We start from the raw sequence: 22,352 nt of genomic DNA on the forward strand, positions 1-22,352 counted from the left end.
TGCTCCTCCTTTGTTATTATTTCAACAATGTGATTAAACAATTTGGGAATGCTTTGAATACTGACCTCCGCTCCCAAGGACAAAACCCAAACTCAATCACTATTAAACAAAACAAGCTTGTTGAACAAGGAAATAGAAGTTTTCAACAATTTGACAGTGGTATTTCAGGTGCAGAGGTTACTGTTTGTATTATTAGTGTAAGGTGCCTTCTTTTTAGTTCACCTGGGCGAATCCTGGCTGCAAGTTTAATAATCGGTAATCTTGAAACCAGCATTAAACCCAGGGCATAATTTAGTGGTTGGGAGCACTGGGTTGAGACCTCAACAACAGTGATAATTCGTTTAAGCTGTGTGACTCTAGGCACGTTGCTTATGTTCTCTGGGCCTCTGTTTCTTCAGCTGAGAGATAATCACAGTCTCAACCTTGGTCTGGGTTGCTGTGGGGATTAAAGGAGGTAATAAATGTCAACTGCTGTAAACAGTCCTAGAGTAAGTGCAGGTGATAGTGGCTACTCCCGCTAATAACCAGCCTTGATAACCAGCTGAGGGCGCAGGGCTCAGGAGCCTCAGGATCAGCTGCCCATCTCGCTGCGCAGCCTCAGTTGTCCCAGCCTCCTTTTGCTCCTTTTCCTCCCTCCTGGAGCTGGTGGTAGAGAATGGACATAATTTGCTGATCCCCCCCCCCCCCCCGCCCACCCACTGTAACTTGGTTAGTTAAACCTGCACTTTTTGGTAAAATCTGGAGAGGTGATAATTTATTCACTTTTTTTAGAGGACTCTAAAGCCAGAGGATTCTAAGCCTCCAGGCCACCTCTCCCAGTCCGTCCAAGTTGCAGACACCAGAGAGCAGCCAGCTCATGGTTACAGTCCTTCTCTGAAGCAGCCAGACAATCATCGGAAGGCCCTTCACAGACTCCCATATCTAGATGAGTGATGCTTTACTTTTGACCTTTGTAGCATGGCCTTTCCCCCTCTAACCCTTTAATCATCTCTTTAAAAAAATCAATCAACAAATATTTATTGAACGTTTCCTTGTAGGCTTTAAAATCCACCCATAGGCTGCTCTGTGACTCTTAAGGATTTCTGCCCTGCATCCAGAGAGAATGCAGTAGCTCTGGCCAATTTACTTAGTATCTGCTTTCTTAGATTATGAGCATTTTCTGTTTTTCCTGGGAGTCCATGGGTGTGTCCAGTGCTGGCAGGGGGCACCATCAGGTTGCAAGGTTGAGGTGGTGCATCTTATCTGCTTGGTGAGGTGCAGGGAGGGGTGGAGCAGCTGTTTCCAGCATGTGTTTCGCTCTCTTTATTGGCCCTTTCAGCTGACTGCTTTTTACAACCAGTTATGATGGAACATTTAAGACTTGTTTTGGGGTCACCACAACCAAGTTTTCTCTTCTCACTGATTGGCAGGAGGGGTGCCCACTGGGAGCCAGCACAAGTCTGGGATTTTTTGGTTGGACAGGGTTTCTTGCCTGCAGTTTCCAGCTGGTAAATGAGCCTGGGCTTGAGGAAGTTGTCAAAGGCCTTCCATCTTTTAAATCTTGGCCATGTAGCTGGTATTGTTGAAGAAAACGTGAAGAAGGATTTTAAGAAATGGCCATTGAAGATTGATGTTGGCCGGTCATCCTGCACACTGTCCCTCCTTTATGTAGCGTAATGCAGGATTTCTTATTCAGAGAGCAACTCCGCTGTGGGCCTACCCCAGGAGAAAAGGGTGCAGGGAGGGTGCTGGCTCTGGCTAATTCTGTCACTCCACTTTGGAGAGGGGAAAAGCCTCCTGAGCAGCTGAATGCCTTTGGTTGTTTCCAGTTTTCGCCACGCTAAATTTCATTCCCCATCCTCCTCCTCTTGCCCTACAACATAGCTTAGCTTAGAGTTAAAATTGGTTTCATTCTTTAGTGCTGTTTCTTTCTCTTCTTGTTTGCATTTGTGGATGAGTTTAGATTCAAACTAGAATGTGGTTCTGATGTGTGAGTAAAAGCACCTCATTTTCCCCTAACCACAGCCTCATCACTGGGTACTTGGCAGAAGCAGACACCATTGTTGACTGAAAATAAATGGAGTTCAAGGGGTCTTCAGGGTTCTTGGCCTTGATTCCTCCCCACCCCCATCTCTTTGGAGCACCCCTCCAATATCTAATTGTTAACATTCTGTGTGTGAGAGATGTATTATGTATTAACTGTTTAAATAAAGTCCTGTGAATTCCTTGGACAGTGTATTATGAATTTACAAGGGAGTTCACTATATCTTTAGGTATTTGTGTTATATGCATTATCTTACCCATTAATACATTATTCTGAACTTTTGTAAGGAAATAGTTTTCTACTATTCATCTGTGGTTTTGGTTACAGTTTTTAAAATGCAGAGACAAATTTCAGTTCCATTTCTGGTGGCCCACTTGTGGGACCAAATCTATCTTTCTAAACGTCAGATTTTTAGAAGCTCTACCAGCAATCCTCGAGGCTTACAGTTTTCCCGGGTTTCTGTTGGCAAGTAACTTCAGCTTTTCGTACTTTGAGATCACAAGTGGCAGACGCTCTTAAGTGCGTCACAGTTAGGTTGTTAAGATTTGAGGGGGACAATCTCCTTTGGTGTCGAGTTCATCATCCACAGCAGTAGGAACAACAAAAACTCAAGAATTCCTTCCCCCTGCAGTGAGCCAGCCAGCCTCTTTTCTCATTAACAACATAGTCATATTTCTTTTTTTTTTTTTTTTTTTTTTTGAGACGGAGTTTTGCTCTTGTTGCCCAGGGTGGAGTGCAATGGCACAATCTCAGCTCACTGCAACCTCTGCCTCCTGGGTTCAAGCGATTCTCCTGCCTCAGCCTCCCGAGTAGCTGGGATTACAAACGCCTGCCACACGCCCAGCTAATTTTTGTATTTTTAGTTAGTAGAGACAGGGTCTCACCATGTTGGCCAGGATGGTCTTGAACTCCTGACCTCAGGTGATCCGCCCGCCTCGGCCTCCCAAAGTACTGGGATTACAGGCGTGAGTCACCGTGCCTGGCCCAACACAGTCACATTTCATAAGGATCATACTGTTTATTTAGTCCACATTCTGGGGAAAGGGGAAAAATACCATCTTCCTTAAACTTAATTTTTAGGTACTTAAAAATTTTTTTTGACTTTTGTTAAAACCTAGGAGTAAAACACAAGGGGCAAGTGGAGTGAAGGAAAATGGAAGGTGGGGAAATAGGCAGCTTATTTTTTTTCCTGACCTTACCCATTGTACTTTGAAGTTAATATATATATTTTATATTAATTACATTATTATATATAATCAATTATATTAATGTATATTATATATATATTTTTAACATTAAAAAATTTAGACTGGGCGTGGTGGCTCATGCCTGTAATCCCAGCACTTTGGGAGGCCGAGGTAGGCGGATCACAAGGTTAGGAGTTTGAAACCAACCTGGCCAACACAGTGAAACCTGTCTCTACTAAAGGTACACAAAAAATGAGCTGGGCGTGGTGGCAGGCGCCTGTAGTCCCAGCTACTCAGGAGGCTGAGGCGGGAGAATCGCCTGAACCCCGGAGGTGGAGGTTGCAGTGAGCCGAGACAGTTCCACTGCACTCCAGTCTGGGCTACAGAGTGAGACTGTGTCTCAAAGAAGAAGAAAACATTTTTTCCTGTTGCCCAGACTGGAGTGCAGTGGCGCTCACTGCAGCCTCTGCACCCCCGGATTCAGGTGATTCTCCTGCCTCAGCCTCCCTAGGAGCTGGGATCACAGGCATACGGCACCATTTTCGGCTAAGTTTTGTATTTTTAGTAGAGATGGGGTTTTGCCATGTTGCCCAGGCTGGTCTCAGACGACATCAGGTGATCTTCCTGCCTGTGACTCCCAAAGTTCTGGGATTACAGGCGTGATCCCAGTTTTGTTTTGTTTTTAGTACATTGCAATTAATGTTTACATTCAAACTTTAAAATTCCTTGGATCTTTGTTTTCGGGATGGGGTTGTGGTTCTTCTCCCCCACCAGAAAATGTGATTTAGCTGCCTCATTTTTGGTATTTTTCTTCTCTGATGACTTACCTCTATTGAAAACTTTGTAGTCTGTGGGGAGAAATTTTGTATGTTTCTGTACTTCAGCTACTAGGTTCTCCCTTTACTTATGTGATTAGTTTAATTTAAGATTTATTACTAGGAGCTCATGAGAAATATGTTCATTGCCCAAATTTGCTAGGATAGCAGAGCCTAGTTTCATCTAATTTGCAGAGTTCATTCTCATGCATAATTCATCGGTCCAAGAAATACAGACTCCCAGCCAGCGTAGCTTAAAACTTAATGATTTTCTCAGGAGCCAGTCAGGTGTCAACTAAAACAAGCACTTGATAAGCTATAGACCCTGACATGGTTTTGTTCTGCTCAAAACTTTCGAGTTTCCATTCTAATCTTGATGCACAGAATGGTTGGTAACGGTTCTTCCTCCTTAAATTTTTCTGGTTTTCTGAAAGGGTGCAGGGAATACCCTCACCCCTTAGCAGCTTCTAGTCCTCTTCCTTAATCCTTTACCTGTTTTCTCATTATTATACTAGTGAATTTTGTTTAATTCCTTTGTGCTGGTTTGGAACAAGTGCCATGTTAAATATCATTTCTATGATGGAGTGCATTCTAGGTTTTAAACTGCAGGTTTATAAATGAACTTTTAGAAGGTGGGCGATTTGAAAGTGATTCTGTGTGGAAATAGAAGCCAGAGGGGCCAGATTCAAAGGCCATCTGGATCTGGAGCCTCATTTATTGTCACCAAGAACTGGATGTTTGTGCTGTTTGTCATTTCCCTCAACTCAGCCTCTCTAAGGATAATGGCTTTTCACAGAAGCCTAAATGTAATGCTTTCTTCATTCCCTTACTTCCCTTTAAAATCTTGCATATAAACATTGATAGAAATCCAGAAAGAGAGAGTCCTGTTTTCTCCCCTGTGGTTAAATAGTGACGGTTGATCTACTGAATACCTTCCTTCCTTAAAAACAACGAGATTAGGTAATTACAGCAAATGTGGTCATTAGCCTCATCTGCTCTTATTATCTTATTATGTATTTGTTACTGTGAGAGCCAAAAGATGTGAGGATAAGCCAGACTCTCCCTACTTTGAAAAGACAGGAATTGTAAAAACACGTGGTCACTAATGGAATCTGCAGTTTGATCCACCATGACTTTTGCTTACTGGTGAAATTGGTTTTCTTATATTTTGTCAACAGTAAATAGGCTGTGTGCTTGGATAATAGTTAGGCTAATATAGGAAAATTTAATCATGGCTTTTCTCAAGTTTAATTTGAAAGAGTGCAGTGGGGAAGTCCCCTGCAGGGTGGAAATCGTAGTAGTTGAACATGAGTGACCTTTTTGGTTGACTGACTGCCCTTCCTGTGAAGCTGGCCCAATATCTTTCCCCTGTCAGGATTACTTCCTGTCTCAGCCTGAATAGTTTAAGTAGCTGCAAGATTGATGTTGGATATCTCTGGGAAAATTCCATTCTCTTGAATTTAGCTGACAGAGTACCTCTTTCATTTCTTTCATTGTGTTCCATTTTTGACCTCGGAAGGAACTAAACATTATTTCTCATCCAACAGACTCATTGTTCATCATCTTTGGGCTTAAAAATCCTGTGTTCCCTCAGTTATTTCTTTTATGAAGGTTTCAGGTGCCTCATTATTCTCTATGTGGAGACTGTGTTAGTGTCTTTAAAAATCGACATTCCATGTTTTAAGCATCTAGTATACATTATAAGTAGTGTGATATTTTGCATCCATTTCACTCAGCCACCCTGCTTCTAGGAATTTGGCCACAAGGATGTGTAGTAAGTATTTTACTGTGTATCCCAGTGAAAAATGGAAACCAATAGGGGATTGGTTAAATTATGGAACGTCTGTTCCGTGCAGTCATTAAAATGAAATGGTAGCAAGAATGTTGACTGACATAAAATAAGTGAAAAAAGCAAGTGAGAAAACAGTATTTACAGTTTAATTTTTTTGTCTTATCTTGGAAAATTTAGTAAATATATGTATACATATAATATATAAAGCATACATATATAAACGTGTGTGTGTGTGTGTATATATATATATGTATGCTTTGACAAATGAAGTGGTGGTGTAGGCACAGGTGGGAGGGGCAACTAATCCACACTGAGGGATGACAGAAGGCTTGAAGGACAGGGATTAGCCAGGTGAAGATGGGATTGGCCAGTAGTGTGTTCCAAAGTGAAAGTGGAAAGCCCAGAGGTGAGAAGTGGCTTGGAAGAGTTTAGGAAGAGGGATGGATGCTCAGGAGATAAGGCTTATCTATATTTTCTCCAGGAAACGTGTATTACTCTGTAATAAACAAAAAAAATGGTACCTAGAAAGCTTCTTCTTCCAAAGAAGAAAGTCAAGGAAGCAGCAGGAAAACAGATTGCTTTGTTGCTTTAAGGCTGTGGATTTTGGACTCTTAATGAGATTAAGGCCAGGGAGGCTTTCCCAGGTTGGCTGGATGGGCTGGGGCTGGGTGTCTCTGGTGAAACAGATGAATTCCAGATAGGTAATTTAATTTCCAGAGGTGCCGCACAAATGCCTTTGCCTCCTGCTACTGGTTAGAGCAAAACAAGCATGTGATTTATGTAAAAATACATGAATATTAGTTTTTATCAAAACCCTGCAGAAGAAAAACAGTAGAAAAAATGATACTTCCTGCCATAGCCTCTTTGTGGAATGAAATTAAGAAAATCAATATTCTTTACAAATGACTAGTCACAGTGGAACTGGTCTGTTGAACCTACCCTTTGTAGATAGCATTAATACATCACCCTCTCCCACATTACTCCAACCATAACAGAAATAGTGATTTACATAGGAAAATGCGAGCTGAATTAAACAAGGATGGCCCTGAATTCTGCTGTAGGGATTCTTAAGATGGCACAAGCTAGGCTGTGAATGCCTTGGCCTCCCCTCTTCTCCCCTGTTTCTGGGTCATGCTCCCCTCTGGATTTCTTGCTGGGTAGTTCTGGAGGGAAGGGGATGCCCTTCTACATAAGCATCTGCAGGTGCAGAGATGGGATGGGCCTAAGTGTTCTGAGATCTTCCAGGAGATGGGATTTCAATCTCCAGAATTCCCATCCCCGCTTGGCTCTTTGGTGGCCCAGTTCTGGAAGTTGAGATTTAGACCAAGATTATAGTCTTAAAATAAATCTTGGATGTGACTCCTGCCAGGATGACTTGTAAATAATTTCGTGCCAGAAACCGAGCTGACTTTGGTTTGTGGGCTGGAGGTGGCTGATTCCAACTCTGGGAATTCATTCTAATTTTTGGTGCCCTGTTCACCCTGAGTTGTCTTCTCACGGCTGCCTGCCCAGTCCCTGTGTGGGAATGGGAACCGTCATAGAGTGAATATGAGGACTTCACATCCTTTGGGATGCGGGTATTTTAGTTCCAGGGCTAACATGGCACGTTGGCAGTGAGATAGTTGCTATAATAATTCTCTAATAAGCTGTTGGTCTCAGAGACCCTTCCGCGTGGCGTATCAATGGGGCTTGTGACAGTAGGAGTTGGGATCTTAGAGGATTCATATCACCCTTGCTCCTAATCCAGTAACCCCTAGCAGTGCCCATCACCAGCCTCACACCACCTTGTACCAGTCTTGGGCATGGTGAGTCTCTCTGGTACACTTTTACATTAGAAAAAGTCTGAAGAGGCTGGGCACGGTGGCTCATGCCTGTAATCCCAAAACTTTGGGAGGCCAAGGCGGGCTGATTACCTGTGGTTGGGAGTTCGAGACTAGCCTGACCAACATGGAGAAACCCCATCTCTACTAAAAATACAAAATTAGCCAGGCATGGTGGCGCATGCCTGTAATCCCAGCTACATGGGAAGGCTGAGGCAGGAGAATCGCTTGAACCTGGGAGGCGGAGTTTGCGGTGAGCCGAGATCGCGCCATTGTACTCCAGCCTGGGCAACAAGAGCGAAACTCCGTCTCAAGAAAGAAAGAAAAAGAAAAAGTCTGAAGACTTGTGAGCAAGCCTTTTCTCTCCCACAGGTAAATATTCGATCTGCCTTTCTGCACAATACAAAAGCAAAGTCCTTAACACAAGCCACAGATGGCACTCTGATTCGGCTTGCAAAAAAGGTAACTGTTTTTTTTTTTTCTTTTTTCTTGTAATATTTTCCTTAAAAAATTTTTTTCCTCTTAATACCCTAAGCCCCAAAAGGGAGTTTGTATTGTAAAATATTCTTTAATAAGTCACTTTTAACTACGTGAAACTGGGGGGAATTTTCCACATTTGGACCAGGTCCCTGGATTGTATTGCCAGAGGTGTGGCTTTTGGCATTAACTTTTATTTAATTTGGATGGCTACTTTCTAGAGAAATCAATTTAACCTAAAAAATTGTCATAGCTCATTCTACATATGCACCCCTACTGTTCTAGATTTAAAAAACAAAAACAAAAGCTTTCTAAGTCAGTTTTGATTTTGAGACGGAGTCTTGCCCTGTCACCCAGGCTGGAGTGCAGTGGTGCGATCTTGGCTCACTGCAGCCTTCACCTCCCAGGTTCAAGCAGTTCCCTTCCTCAGCCTCCCAATTAGCTGGGATTACAGGCGTTTGCCACCACGCCTGGCTAATTTTTGTATTTTTAGTAGAGACAGGGTTTCACTGTCTTGGCCAGGCTGGGCTCGAACTCCTGACCTCGTGATCCACCCGCCTCGGCCTCCCAAAGTGCTGGGGTTACAGGCGTGAGCCACCATGCCCGGCCTCAGTTTGGATTTTTAAAAAACCAATCTTATTGAAGTAAAATTTATACATGCAGCCATTTCAGGTGTACACTGTGATAACTTATGACAACTGCACACATCTGGGTATTACCATCCCATCAATATATGCACCTCCTGTCACCCGAGAAAGCTCCCTTGTGCTCCTGTCCTGTGCCCCCATGCCAGCGCCGACCTGCCTTCTTGCACTGTAGATTAGCTTTGCCTGTTGTAAATGCCATATAGATGGAAGCACTTTTGTGTCTACATCCCTTCACTTTGCTTTGAGATTCATCCAGGCTGTGTGTATGGTTTGTTCCTTCCTGTTATGGTTCAGTAGTCTCCTCTCTTTCTGTCTTTCTGTGTTCTTCCTGTGACTCACTCATTGTCTGTGTTTCTTTTTTTCCCTGTAAGCCTGGCCTGGTCCTTTCGTGATTCCCTGTAGTCTTTTTCTCAAGTGGGCATTAAAGCAACCTTATCTTTCACACACACTGAAAGAACCTAGTAACTGAGAGATGATCCAGCCAGATTCTGCCCTTACCTTTACCCCTCACCACCCCACTAGGGGACAAAACAAGCAAATATACTGACTGACCCAAGCCTTGTTGTTCCGACGAAAACACTGGCGTTCAGCATCTTTCCCGCAAACCGAGCTGCAGCCTCCAGTTTCAGAATAGTGCCTTCCATAAAATCTGTGGGAGTTTTCCGTTTATGTTGCTTGTTTTTAAACAATCTTCTTGGAAAAGAATTCAGTGCTGTTAATGGATTGCCGTCGGAGCTTTTTTTACATTACACCTGTCCTCTGCTTCCTGATCTCCTTTTGATGGTTAGGGAGAATATGTTGACTTAGAATAGCAAGGAGCCATGGCACCCCAAGGAAACAGGAAAAATCTCAGTTTTCATGGATGAGAAAGTCCCATTCTATTGTCTGTGTGTGCCTGAGTATGTACACTGTAACATCTCATTTTTAGTTGTATGAAGAAAGCGCTGTGGCTGAGAACCAGTGTTTGGAGGTTGGGGTAGGGTAGCCTGGGTTCATAGTCACTACATATCCCAGCTCCCCAAGCCCTAGGAGGTACTGCACAAGCAGTACAGACAGGGTCTTGCATTTGTGCCTCTTCACTGGTGACTTCCCATTTTGAAGAGTGCCAGCTTTTCTGGGAAGTCTGCTGCCAACACTGAGCCGAGCCAGGGTTGCTGTTCACATCTACGCAGGCTGTTGGTGCCGCGGCAGCATGCTGTCCTTGAGAGCACTGTGGAATTTGCAGTGTGCCGTACAGATTCAGAAATGGTGTATGTTTCTTGTGGCATTAGTGTTTTGACTTGCAAATCTGGAAAAGAACAGGAAGTCTTGGTGGAAACACTCTCTGGCTGATGTATAGAAACCTGTGGAGTTAACTGCATTTTAAGCACCAATTATTAGAAAATGAATTTCTTCTTACTTGGGGAGATTTCTTTCAGATCTTAAATACATTTGTCATCTAAACCTCTTCTCCTAGGGGCAGATGATCCCTGCCTTGGGCCTAGGAGAGTAGACATTGGTAATTACCTTTGGCCTGTGTCTCCCCAAATATCCTTATACCTTCTGCTGGCCCATGGCTGTCTAGAAGCCCTCATGGAGGTGCTGCTTTTGTTTTTATCTCTTCATTTGGGGAGAGGATACTGCATCTGGACCCAAGGCCCAAGGTGTCCTGATGTTGAGTCCTTCCAATTCTGGGTAGCCATGAACAGTGATGCTGTTCATAGATAAGGTCAAAGGGACGGGCTTAAGGTTAAGCTCAGTTAGTGGATGGCAGAGGCTGTATTCAAATTAATCTTGATCCACTCTGCAGGTTGCTGTGGCTCCTGTTTCCCCCACTCCTGTGGTCTCCTGCTGTGATTCTGTCAAATTACCCATTTATTTATAACATTTGCCACTACTTCAAATACTTTGTTATTTATGTGGTTTTGGCTTTCTCTGCTAGAATATAAAGTAATACAATAATTTAAAAAAAATGAAGAGCAAGACTCTTTTTGTTCTTGAGGTGAATCTTCTTGCTTATAAATTTACCCCAAGCACCTGGAACAGTGCCTGGCATGTGGTACTTAAGTATTTGTTAAAATAATGAATAATAAGTAAACGGCATTTTGAAAGTTGCTGTCATTCAAATTATGATTTGTGGTGTTAGAGTTCTTATAGGCAGGGCTTAGTTTTAATAAATGACATTGAGAGCTAGTTATAAATCATACATTAGACATAGTTTAATCAGTTTGGTGCTTGTGTATAGAAGCGGACAGAACCCTGGAGATACAGTTGAGGCCTCTTCAGTGAGAGGAGGGAGGAAACTTGCCTTGGAACAGTGTCACAGACAATCCATGGTACATAGATGCCAGAGGTAGACACTGTAGGTTAGGGAAGGTTTGGGGACTGTGAAATGAATGGGCAGCAATAATTAGTGAAATATTATAAATTGCCTTTATTACTGTTGGTTTCCCGACTGCTTCAGTAAAACCAAAAAATACGCACATACTTAGCCTGATGTGTTTAGTTGGGGTTGCCGTTATAGAAAAGCCTTTCAGAAGATACAGAAGAGTGATCCTTTCAGCAGCACATATACTAAAATTGGAATGATACAGAGAAGATTAGCATGGCCTGTATGCAAGTATGACACAGAAATTTGTGAAGCATTCCATATTTTTATGTATTGGAAAATCAGGTTTGGATTATGCAGTTTCTAAAATTGAAGAATATTTCATCCTTACCAATATGTTTTGAATAGTATTTTGCCTTAGAAATAATTTTTACATACTAAATAATACGTATATTAATGAAGAACAAAAGGAAACGGAAGAGCAACGTGCTTGTCCAAAAATTCTCCATGTGTATAAGTGAATTGATTCTGCCAGAAAGAAGAGTTTAGACATGTTTTTATTGCAAACAACTTCCTTCAGATGCCAGGTAGTAGACAATCTACAGGACTAGGGAGGATGAGAGATGTCCCTTTAGAATGCTGTTTGAACCCATGATGGATTAATTACGAAGGTTGATGCCCATCTATACCAGCTGGCTTTCCAAGATTTATTTGACCCGTTGCTTTGTCTTGGAGAACTGCAGTCTCTCTCATATAGCTTTGATCTTTACTGTGGGAATCATAGTGCAGTCAGTACACCATAGGGTCAAGTGCTCAGTCTGCCATTTTAACACAGAAAACTTACATATTTAGAAGTAGTCACGTATCTAGAGTGTGACTGGACTACCTGAATAATTGAGATGAGATACGGTCAAAAAAGTGAGATATCTTCATCTGCTTCAGGTGGCTTTTAGGCTGCAAATCCCTAGAAGTTGTGGTTGTCCGGAAGTTACCAAAATAAATGAGTGGTGTTTCGCCCAATTCTGTTTTTTCAAGTTCTGTTTCAAGTTCTGTTAAAATTGTTAGCAGAACTGGGAAAGTGCGTTAATGAAGCAAGCAAGTCCTGTAGTGTGTGCTAACTGGGCCCAGTGTGCCGTCCATACGTTGAGTACGTTCATTAGTGATTTCAGACATGAGTTTCTCAGGGCTCCCAAATTTATGGAAGAAGTAAGTGATGACTTCCAAATTCTTTGTCTTCAGATTGATTTAAAGTGACTGAGGGCATAAGCTGGAACCAAGATTAGAAAGAACACAGTTTACACGAGTCCTGCTTCCTTTTTTTTTTCATCCCGTGAATGTTATCTTCAGTATTTTCTCAACTAATACGAAAAGTACCACTGAAGTGGGGTCTGCTGGCTTGAAAACATGTGTGAAATACAGATTCTATGGGTTTTTTTTGACATGGAGTCTCACTCTTGCCAAGGCTGGAGTGCAGTGGCACGATCTCTGCTCACTGCAACCTCTGTCTGCCTTCCGGGTTCAAGCGATTCTCCTGCCTCAGCCTCCCTAGTAGCTGGGACTACAGGCACACGTATTTTTAGTAGAGACAGGGTTTTTGAACTCCTGAACTCAAGTGGTCTGTCCACCTCGGCCACCCAAAGTGTTGGCGTTACGGACATGAGCCACCATACCCGGCCAGATTCTATGCTTCTGTCTCAGATTCAGTTGCTACCCTACAGAGGTGGCCAGTTAGGAGTGTTTCATAATGAAGATTATGTCTTTAATCATTGTGAGGTTTGTGGCTGAGGACAGTAGTCCTTATGCTTGTGCTGGTTAGAAGTAAAGAAATTTTGGACTGTTCTTGCTATTTTTTTTGAGATGGAGTCTCTCTCTGTCGCCCAGGCAGGAGTGCATTGGTTTGATCTCAGCTCACTGCAACCTCTGCCTCCCAGATTGCTGGGATTACAGGCACCCACCACCATGCCCAGCTAATTTTTATATTTTTAGTAGAGACGGGGTTTCACCATGTTGGCCAGGCTGGTCTTGAACCCCTGACCTCAGATGATCCTCCTGCCTTTGCCTCCTGAGTGCTGGGATTACAGGCAAGAGCCAGTGCACCTGGCCCACTGCTATTGTTTTTAACACAGCTTTGAAAGCAGTATGATTTGGTTAATAGGATGGCTACAGCCAGACACCCTGGGTTTGAATCTCAGCTCTCTATGGAATGACCTTGGGCAAGTCATTTAGCCAGCCTGTGCTTCAAGTTGCTTGTGTAAAATGGGGATAATAGTACCTTTGTTATAGAGTTGCTGTGGGGTTTCAATGAGTGTACTTTTGGTCTAGAATGAATCTTTTGTAGACAGTCTTGAGTATAATGGGTTGTGATTTTGTGCTTCTTGTCCCATCAGTTATTTATAATTAGCAATGGTACTTTGTTGCATGTACTTAATTTGATTTTATCTATTTAGCAGTAGAATTTTTTTTCATCAGAAATAATTTCTTCCTGTCCCTCTGTGAAATCCCCTTGAGAAAGGGGTAAGAAATAGCTCTGAGGACCAGTTGAAAAATAATCGATCTGAAACACAACAGACAATATTAACATGTCAGTTTTTTCTGTTTTGCAGGAAAATGCAAGTCTCATTTAGGATAATAGTTTGATTTCCTGAGGTGGTTATGGTTATGGTTTTGTGTAACTGAGAGTCATTTAAAGGTGATGCATAGGTTTGCAGGTAGAAATACAGTTTTGTTTGAAATCTGGGGTGTTCAACCGACATTGTGGTAAGAGTAATTTCCCCCAAAACTCCCTAGGAAATTTTTACCTTTTACTTCAGTAGACCTGGAGTCTTGCCTCTTGAACTGAAAGTGAGGTTGAACTTCATCCGTAAAGGTGAGTTTTCCCCAAAGGTACCTGAATGCTTGCCGTGTAACTGATGGGTCCATAGTCCACTGCCAGAAGGTACCCTCTTGCGTCTCGGAGGTGCTGGTTCTGAAGTATCTTTTTTGAGTTTTAGTTGGAGTTTCTCTTGTTGAGAATTTTGAATCTCAGAAAATGCCATGGCTGCGTGGGTGTTTGTTTTAGCTCCACACCCTTCATCTTCAGGGTGGATGCACCCTTGGGTGGCGTTGCACACAGCTGGCGCGTGGAGAGCCGATCCCTCCAGGGTTTGTTTCTTTAATACCAGACCCGCTCCCACAAAACTGGTGTATTTAGGCGTCCCCTCTTCTCCTGTGTTTGTTGCTGGCCAGCAGTGCCTGCAAGTTCCAGCAGATGAGGTGAGGATGGACAGTGAGGTAGAGGCTAGTCTGTTTGCCTGGGTTCACTGAAGTTGCTAGGTTTTGAGTTTGCTCCAGATTAGTGAATATATCAGCTGTGAGAATAAGAGTGATTAAAGCATGGTGGCGCATGCCTGTAGTCCCAGCTACTGGGGAGGCTGAGGCAGGAGAATCACTTGAAACCTGGAGGCGGAGGTTACAGTGAATCGAGAACCCTGCCACTGCACTGCAGCCTGGGTTACAAGAGCAAAACTCCGTTTCCAAAAAAAAAAAGATTAAACAAATAGGACTTCTCCATTTGTATTTAAACTTCAAAGAGAAAGCTGAACTCCAAGGCCCAGCTGGAGGACACGTGGATCCAGCCAGCATGTTAGATGTAGGCAATTGGAGAAGGACAGGGAGACAGCAGTGAGGTGCAGGGGGATGAGGCACATAGTTGTCTACATGAAACAGGCAGATCTTTGTTTTCGTATACCTAGAATAGTTTCCATGTCCAGCAAGAACTTCCAGGTTTTTGTTGTTTTTTGTTTATGCTTTGGTGGTGGTGGTGGTTGCTACCACCTGGAGAAAAGCTGCCTTTGCAGCCCCACAACTGTGCAGTTGCTGTGAGTGAGCAGGCTGGGAACCACATGCTCTTGTTCTGACATTCACTGGAGGCACCCCCCTCCCCTTTCCTTACAAGGCATCTCAGAGGATTGTCATTTGAGGCAGGCCGGATTCACTGGTGTGACTGTTTCAGGACTGGCTTGTCTCATTAAAAAACATTTTTTGGATCAGAAACAATGAGGGGTGGGAAAGGCAACAAAAGCCTCTTGAGATTCCCGGATTGCTCAGGATGTTATAAACAGTAAGTGCTGCTTTTGATCTTGGAGGGTGGTGTGGGGTAGGCGAGAAAGGGGGTGGTGGTTATTGGGAAGAGGGCTGGAGCCAGACAGCCATAATGGCTTGTCCAAAGGCTGCTGTGAATCCCAGTGGCAAAGAGCTCTGCACTTCCCGCTAATTTCTGTTTTCTTTACTGTGGCTGGCTTTATTAAAAGGACATAAGGAAGCAGCCTAGACATTCAGTCCAATCAGTTTTCTAGGGTAGCAGATGAAAAATAAAATTGGGCCTTTTGTATTTACATAGAAAGTAAGTAGGGTGGCTAGCTTTTATGGCTTATTCACTTTCTTGCAGGGAGAGAGGATGCTGTCTGTCTGTCTCTCATATGTATATAACATGCTTGGAATGCTATAAGTTATCAAAGATTCATTAGATGAGCACAGATCTTTCATTCTGTCTTGAAACATGGCAAGGTTTGAAGTTGGTGGACCAATGAGAAGCTGTGCTGCCTTGAACAATAATTTTAAAAGAGTTGCTCTGACAGCATATCTTTTGTAACTTTTTCCTCTCTGTGGTTCTGCAGTAGCCATTTTGTGTCTGAGTGACATGGAATTTCTGTGTTGCTTTTTTCTTTTTTTTGGAGACAGAGTTTCCCTCAAGCCAGTTGCCCAGGATGGAGTCCAGTGGTGTGATCTCAGCTCATTGCAACCTCTGCCTCCCGTGTTCAAGCGATTCTTGTGCCCCAGTCTCCTGAGTAGCTGGGAGCACAAGTGTGCGCAACTGTGCCCTGCCAATTTTTTTGTGTATGTGTTTTTAGTAGAGACGGGGTTTCACCATGTTTGCCAGGCTGGTCTTGAACTCCTGTCCTCAAGTGATCCACCTGCTTCATGGCAGGTGAGCCACTGCATCCGGTCTGTCCATAGTTTCTGGAACACAATTAGAAGTGAGATCTGTGTTTGAGGGAGAAGCAGGAAAAGTTTAACCTGAGGATGGCCCTTTAACTTTATATGATGAAAAACTACCTAATCAATGGTTGCAGATTATGTAAATTAAAATAGTGGTGGGTACTTCTTAAACAAATTATGCAAATTTGATGCAGTCATCAAGGCTTCTTGCTTCACTGCATCATTTACCTTTTGATTTCAGAGAAGTTCAGCCCCTTGACTCTTTCCTTATTCGAACTGGAGCTAAGCACTGAGATATTTCAGCCATACGCTTGTTAGGGAGTGTATCTATGTAAATACAAGTAATTTTAAGTAGACAAGGCTATATTAGTAGAACCTGATTACTTTTATCTTGCTGGTTTCTTCCATTGTTTTATTAGTATGTTTCAAATATTTACCATGGTGAGCCGATCAGCTTCTGATCTATGTGGATCAGTATCCAACAAAAACTGACTAGAAGAGACTGTGGTTGTGGATGCTTGTGAAGAGAATGGAAAATGTATTACAGTGTTAATGTCCTCTACAATTCCAGTGACTTAGTATTCAGTTAAGACACAGGTAAGGTGTTGGTTATAAGCCGGTAATTCAAGTTAGGTTAACTCTGTTTCTTTTCCATCATAACCAGTTGAAAAGAGGAAGACTTTACATTTAATTAGGTAGTTCGTAGAATGTAAGTGTGAGAATAGAAAAATATATTTAAGAAACTCAGTCATTGTTCTTTACACAAATTAGAGTGGATTGGTAGCTTTGGGGGATTTAAGTGGGTTGAAGTAGAAGGTGAAATGATGACTGTTAATTATCAAAAACCATACATAAATGTGATTTGTAGTTTATTTTGAAACCTACTGTAGTTTAAATTCATCTGGTATTCATTACAATGCAGTTCTTAAAGAAGATGAAACTGTATAGCTAATGACCCAAATGTTTCCTTCTTATCTAATCAGGGATCCTTCTTTAGTAGCTAGATTAGATGTTATTCAGAAAGGATAATATAGGAAATAATTACTGTATTTCATTTGTGGAGTTAAGCATATGGCCTCTAATTCATTTTCATATGCAATATATGTAAATTAGAGACCAATCTATATTATTTTCAGCCATGGCCATGCAAGAATATGATTCATTCTCTCTCTCTCTCTGTGTGTGTGTGTGTGTGTGTGTGTGTGTGTTAGTTAAACTTGCATGTGAAGTATGACTTGCAGTTTGTAGTAATTTTGTGATGCTGGTACATTTTCTCATCTTGTTTGGGAGTTTTATGAAATGTTAGAATTCAAATTTGGGGATGGGAGGCGGTGTATCATATGAATGATTTCATTATTACAAGTAGTATTTTGCAGTAGTTAGTATGTTGTGAGCAGATTGAAAATGCCAGGAACTTAAAAGAATTTTTGGAAGAAAATAACTAGATCTGTGCAAGAATTCAACAGTCTGATTACTCAGTGTTATCAATTACAAAACACCTGGCCCTGTGCCATGATATATATACTATATATCAGTATAATCAGTATAATCATACACCTTCTTGTGGGGATAAAGGGAATGAAGGGAATGTCATTTTTTTACATCACAAAGAAAAATCATGAAATTATTAATAGTTGTGAGTTGTCCACTCTGTAACTAAGGCTAACTATGAACTAATGAACTCACATGTAGTATTAATTACGGCACATATTTCATTAATGGGAACCTGCAATTCAAATTATGTTTGAGCAGGAAATATTTAACAATTTTGTAAACCTTTTTGATTGGGCCTTGAAACATGGTTTGTAGCTTTTTATTACTTCTGCTCTGTTTCTTAAATGTGGGTGGCAGTGAAATCAAGATCTCTATTCAGAACCAAAGACTGACTGTCAGGGGGTTTATCTACTTCGTAACTTGTCATTAGAAAACATGATTTCCTTCAGCTTCTCCTCGTATTTACAAGCCAATTGCTTGACTCTTCTTTGGGTCAGTGGCTAAGTAAGTTAACAAGAACAAACAACAGAAATGCTTTCTTTGAAGATATGAGACTTCAATAATAGAGTGTGAGTTAGAATAGCAATCTAATTTTATAATTGGAAGAATTCTTGTTTTTTTTTTTTTTTTTTTTTTTTTTTGAGATGGAGTCTCACTTTGTCGCCCAGGTTGGAGTGCAGCGGTGTGATCTCGGCTCACTGCAAACTTCGCCTTCCGGGTTCAAGCAATTCTCCTGCCTTAGCCTCCCAAGTAGCTGGGATTACACTGCCCAGCACTACGCCCAGCTAATTTTTTGTATTTTTACTAGAGACGGGGTTTCACCATGTTGGCCAGGCTGGCCTCAAACTCCTGACTTCGTTGTTCGCCTGCCTCCCAAAGTGCTGTAATTACAGGCATGAGCTACCGCGCCCGGCCTGGAAGAAGTATTAGATTTAGTGTCTAGTGGTTAATGGGAGAATGGGAAATCTGCATAGCTCCTGTTTGGTAGCATGAAAAACACATAATTGTAATTTCAAATATCCAAACAGGCATGTAGAATCATAGGGTCATTTGTTGAAGCTTAGTTTTCAAGGAGCAGTAAGAGTGAGGAAAAGGTGCACAGGCTTCTGTGCTTCTGATTCTGAGACTTGGTTAGAGGGCACTTGCCAGGCATGGTGACACACTCCTGTAGTCCTAGCTACGCAAGCCATATTCACTATTATCACTCTCTGGACCAATTATTGATTTGCAAGTTCCTGTGAAATGTTTTATCACCCAGTGTGTTTTGTCTGTGTACAGGAAGCACTGGATACACTGGCTAGGTGTGTGCTTTTAAGTAACATTCTTCTCTGATTCCTTTCCTTCAAAGTGGGAGATACTGGTAGCATCTACCTACCCTGCAAGGATTTAATGAGTTTTAATGACATGAGAAATGCTTAGATTTCAGGGATTTGACTAAACCCAAATACCTGGGCCATATTTTTAGCCAGGAGCCAGGGAATATTTGCACTAAGCCACTGGCTGACCCAAAACTTCTCTCTTTAAGTCATTTAGCCAAACAGCAAATTAGGGAGCCAGCAGCTCATTTTGGGGGTGATGTTTTGTATGAGAAGTTGGTGAACCCTGGGGGTAGCAGTAGGGGAGATTTCAGCATAGAGAAGAGGGGATAGTTGATTTCCTAAACCACTTCCAAATTATGTCTTCAAACAAAATAAAACTTTCCCCTTGATTTCCAAATTCCAGAATATTAGGCATAACCATAATATAAACATAACAGCATACTCTTAAACCAGAGAGAAAAATTCCAAGCTGTTCTGAATTATCTGGTTCATTTGAGATTGGACTGTATGCAATTTGGTCGTAGCAGCAGGCTCATTCTAGCAAATGCTAAGGTAGCAAACACCAGGACTGTAGGTTACTTTTCCTCACAACATTCTGGTTGTAGGTTTCCTGACACATTCATTCTGGCTGTTTTTCTTTTGCACTCTGTGGTACGAAACCTCTTAGCTCTGTGTGGGTGGTGGGCTTTTGCTTGCCAGGCAGGCAGGCACAGCCTGGTTTCCCAAATGCATTTCTCCCTGATTGCCTTCTCTATCCATTAAGCATATCTGAACTGTGTAGGATTAGCTGTGTCTTGTTCTTTCCTTTTCTTTCTTACAATCACAGGAATGAGCCAGGTGTGTGTGTGTGACTCACCCTAGCCCAGCCTGGGTGTGCTACAGCACCGGGAAATCCTGCCCTCTTGGCCTAGCGTCTTCATAGATATGTGGCTTGGCCTTCTCTCTTTGGTGCTTTTCCCTTGACAGCAAACTTGTCGTCTTTTGTCTTGAACTTTATTGCTCAGAGACCACCCTACTGCTGTCCTTTTACTTCAGATCTTCAAATTCAGTCACATACTGAGGTACTAGGGGTTTGGACTTAAGCATAAGACTTTTTAGGGGACACAAGGCAACCTGTAACATTTCTTAACATTGCCTTCCAAAGAAAATTCCTTTTGTTGGGTGTGGTGGCTCACACCTGTAATCCCTGCACTTTGGGAGGCCGAAGCAGGCAGATCGCAACATGGTGAGATTCTCTCTTTACTCAAAATACAAAAATTAGCCGGGTGTGGTGGTGTGCGCCTGTAATCCCAGCTACTCTGGAGGCCACGTGAGAATCACTTGAGCCCTGGAGGCAGAAGATGCAGTGAGCTGATCGCGCCACTGTACTCCAGCCTGGGTGACAGAGCAAGATTCTGTCAAAAAATAAAAAAGGCTGGGCGTGGTGGCTCATGCCTGTAATCCCAGCATTTTGGGAGGCTGAGGCGGGCGGATCACAAGGTCAGCAGATCGAGACCATCCTGGCTAACATGGTGAAACCCTGTCTCTACTAAAAATACAAAAAATTAGCCGGGCGTGGTGGCGGGCGCCTGTAGTCCCAGCTACTCAGGCTGAGGCAGGAGAATGGCATGAACCGGGGAGGCAGAGCTTGCAGTGAGCCAAGATTGGGCCACTGCACTCCAGCCTGGGGGACAGAGCTAGACTCTGTCTCAAAAGAAAAAAAAAAACTGGAAAAAAAAAAAAGAAAATCCTTTTTGATTTGTATGAAGCCCAAGGTATTATCATTCATCCTTTTTGTGTCCTAGGAAATCTTTGTATAACCTAAGATTGGAAGGATTATCTCTTGTGTTTCCTCTTGGAGTTTTATAATTTTTTCCCCCACATTTTGCTTGTGATCACTTTAAAAAGAAAAGCTTCACGAATTTGCATGTCATCTTTATACGGGGGCCGTGTTATCTTCTGTGTAATGTTCCAGTTTTAATATATGAGCTGCCAAGGTGAGCACTATGACCCCCCTCCTTTTTCTTCTTCTTTTTCTTTTTTTTAAAAGACAGTCTTTGAACCAGGCTGGAGGTTCACTGCAATCTCCGCCTCCGCCTTCTGGGTTCAAGCAGTTCTCCTGTCTTGGCCTCCCAAGTAGCTGGTACTACAGGCGTGCACCACCACGCCTGGCTGATTTTTGTGTTTTTTTTTTTTTTTGGTAGTTTTGTAGCCTTGCTTTATTTTCCAGGCACTTTGCAAACTCCTGAGTTCAAGTGTGATCCTCCTGCCTCGGCCTCTCACAGTGCTGGGATTGCAAGTGTGAGCCACCGCTCCCGCCAACTGCTTTTTGAGTTAATATTTGTTTGGAGCAAAGTACGGGTCAGAGGTGGTTTTGTTATTAAAAAAAAAAAAAAGAAAAGAATGTCTTTTGTTGTTGTTGTTTTAAACTCTGAAAGCATTCCCTGCCCTTTGTCAAAGAATTTCAACAGCCCTGAAAGGAATAAAGTAATAAGTTGCACTCAAGCCTGCCTAAATCCCTTGCTGGAGGAGATGCTTTTAGAGTTTTTCTGTGTATTCGTATGTGTTTATAATTTCTTTTTTTTTCTTTAATGAGGACCATACCACAATTTCAAAACTTGATTTTTTTAACTTAATTTAGTCACCACCTTTACTTCCTCTTCAAACATGGTTTTTCTTCCCATTTTCTTTCTTTATAAAGACTTTTATAATCTGTACCTTGTACCTGAGGGAATTGTGTTGTTGTTAATTTTGACTTTTATTTGCAATAAGAACTTTCGAATTGAGACCCAGTATTTGTGGCTACCTGTGTGTGTGCACACACACAACTGAAACAATTTCAGCTTAGCCTCACTCTCCGTGTTATATTGTAATCTATCCTTTTTTTCCCCCTATTTAATTTAAAAGAAAATTGCTTGTCAAGAGACCCAGCATATTGATTTCCTATTAGGGATCAGCGGTCTAGAAGTACATCTTGAACATTCACAGCTTGTCCTGAATTTAGCTGTGGGAATGTCTAAGGGTACTTTGACCAGTCCATACTACAGAGACCCTTTCTTCATGATGGTGTGGTGTGCAGGAGGGTGTTCAGGGGTGACATGATGTTCTTTTTGTCAACTTGGGACTTTGATTTCACCAGAGTAAAGAGGATCGTAGAAATCTTGCTAAGTCAAGGAAATTCTTATTTACCGCCATAGACTTTGCTCCATCACAGCGGTTCTCAAACTGTCATCTAGGGATCCCTAGATCATAGTCCCTTCCTGGGAGTTTCCAAGGCGAAAAGTAGTACCATGGTAAAAACTGAGACATTATTGTCTTCATTTTCTCACAAATGTGCAGTGGGGCTTTCCAGATACTACATGATATGTGATATTGCATCAGATTGAATTGAGTTATGAGAACTGTGTTGACTCCCGTTAAGCCAGATATTAAAGACTTTTGCAGAAGTGGAAAGCAGTGCCACTTTTCTCACAGTTTTTTCAATGTGTAAAATACAATTTTCATAAAAATTTTA

The 22,352-nt window shown here is 42.2% G+C and overlaps 1 protein-coding gene and 2 pseudogenes across 14 annotated transcripts in view, besides 5 other annotated features; 2 read left to right on the top strand and 1 right to left on the bottom strand.

Moving 5' to 3' along the window:
* JARID2 (jumonji and AT-rich interaction domain containing 2) overlaps nucleotides 1-22,352 on the top strand; it is a 275,974-nt gene that overhangs the window by 57,561 nt on the left and 196,061 nt on the right. For 6 of the 14 annotated variants that reach the window (XM_011514579.4, XM_017010833.3, XM_047418735.1 and 3 more), the window contains exon 2: nucleotides 8,010-8,099. The exons of the other annotated variants lie outside the window; for them this stretch is intronic. In XM_011514579.4, coding sequence (XP_011512881.1) covers nucleotides 8,010-8,099 — 90 coding nt within the window. The remainder of the gene's footprint in view (nucleotides 1-8,009; nucleotides 8,100-22,352) is intronic. 14 annotated transcript variants of the gene reach the window in all.
* Nucleotides 4,293-4,352: a silencer, noted in NCBI's record as "silent region_16950". NCBI's record gives its function as "represses an Ori minimal core promoter by ATAC-STARR-seq in GM12878 lymphoblastoid cells {active_cell/tissue: GM12878}" and the evidence as "EXISTENCE:reporter gene assay evidence [ECO:0000049][PMID:35858748]".
* Nucleotides 5,189-5,483: a silencer, noted in NCBI's record as "tiled region #4383; HepG2 Repressive non-DNase unmatched - State 19:H4K20". NCBI's record gives its function as "represses a minimal TATA promoter and a strong SV40 promoter by Sharpr-MPRA in HepG2 cells {active_cell/tissue: HepG2}" and the evidence as "EXISTENCE:reporter gene assay evidence [ECO:0000049][PMID:27701403]".
* Nucleotides 8,898-8,967: an enhancer, noted in NCBI's record as "active region_24072". NCBI's record gives its function as "activates an Ori minimal core promoter by ATAC-STARR-seq in GM12878 lymphoblastoid cells {active_cell/tissue: GM12878}" and the evidence as "EXISTENCE:reporter gene assay evidence [ECO:0000049][PMID:35858748]".
* RNU6-522P (RNA, U6 small nuclear 522, pseudogene) lies at nucleotides 11,291-11,397 on the top strand (annotated as a pseudogene).
* Nucleotides 14,179-14,268: an enhancer, noted in NCBI's record as "active region_24073". NCBI's record gives its function as "activates an Ori minimal core promoter by ATAC-STARR-seq in GM12878 lymphoblastoid cells {active_cell/tissue: GM12878}" and the evidence as "EXISTENCE:reporter gene assay evidence [ECO:0000049][PMID:35858748]".
* Nucleotides 19,790-19,839: an enhancer, noted in NCBI's record as "active region_24074". NCBI's record gives its function as "activates an Ori minimal core promoter by ATAC-STARR-seq in GM12878 lymphoblastoid cells {active_cell/tissue: GM12878}" and the evidence as "EXISTENCE:reporter gene assay evidence [ECO:0000049][PMID:35858748]".
* On the bottom strand, nucleotides 20,738-20,843 carry RNU6-645P (RNA, U6 small nuclear 645, pseudogene; annotated as a pseudogene).

The sequence above is a fragment of the Homo sapiens genome, chromosome 6 (assembly GCF_000001405.40).
Source record: "Homo sapiens chromosome 6, GRCh38.p14 Primary Assembly".
Taxonomy (NCBI): domain Eukaryota; kingdom Metazoa; phylum Chordata; class Mammalia; order Primates; family Hominidae; genus Homo; species Homo sapiens.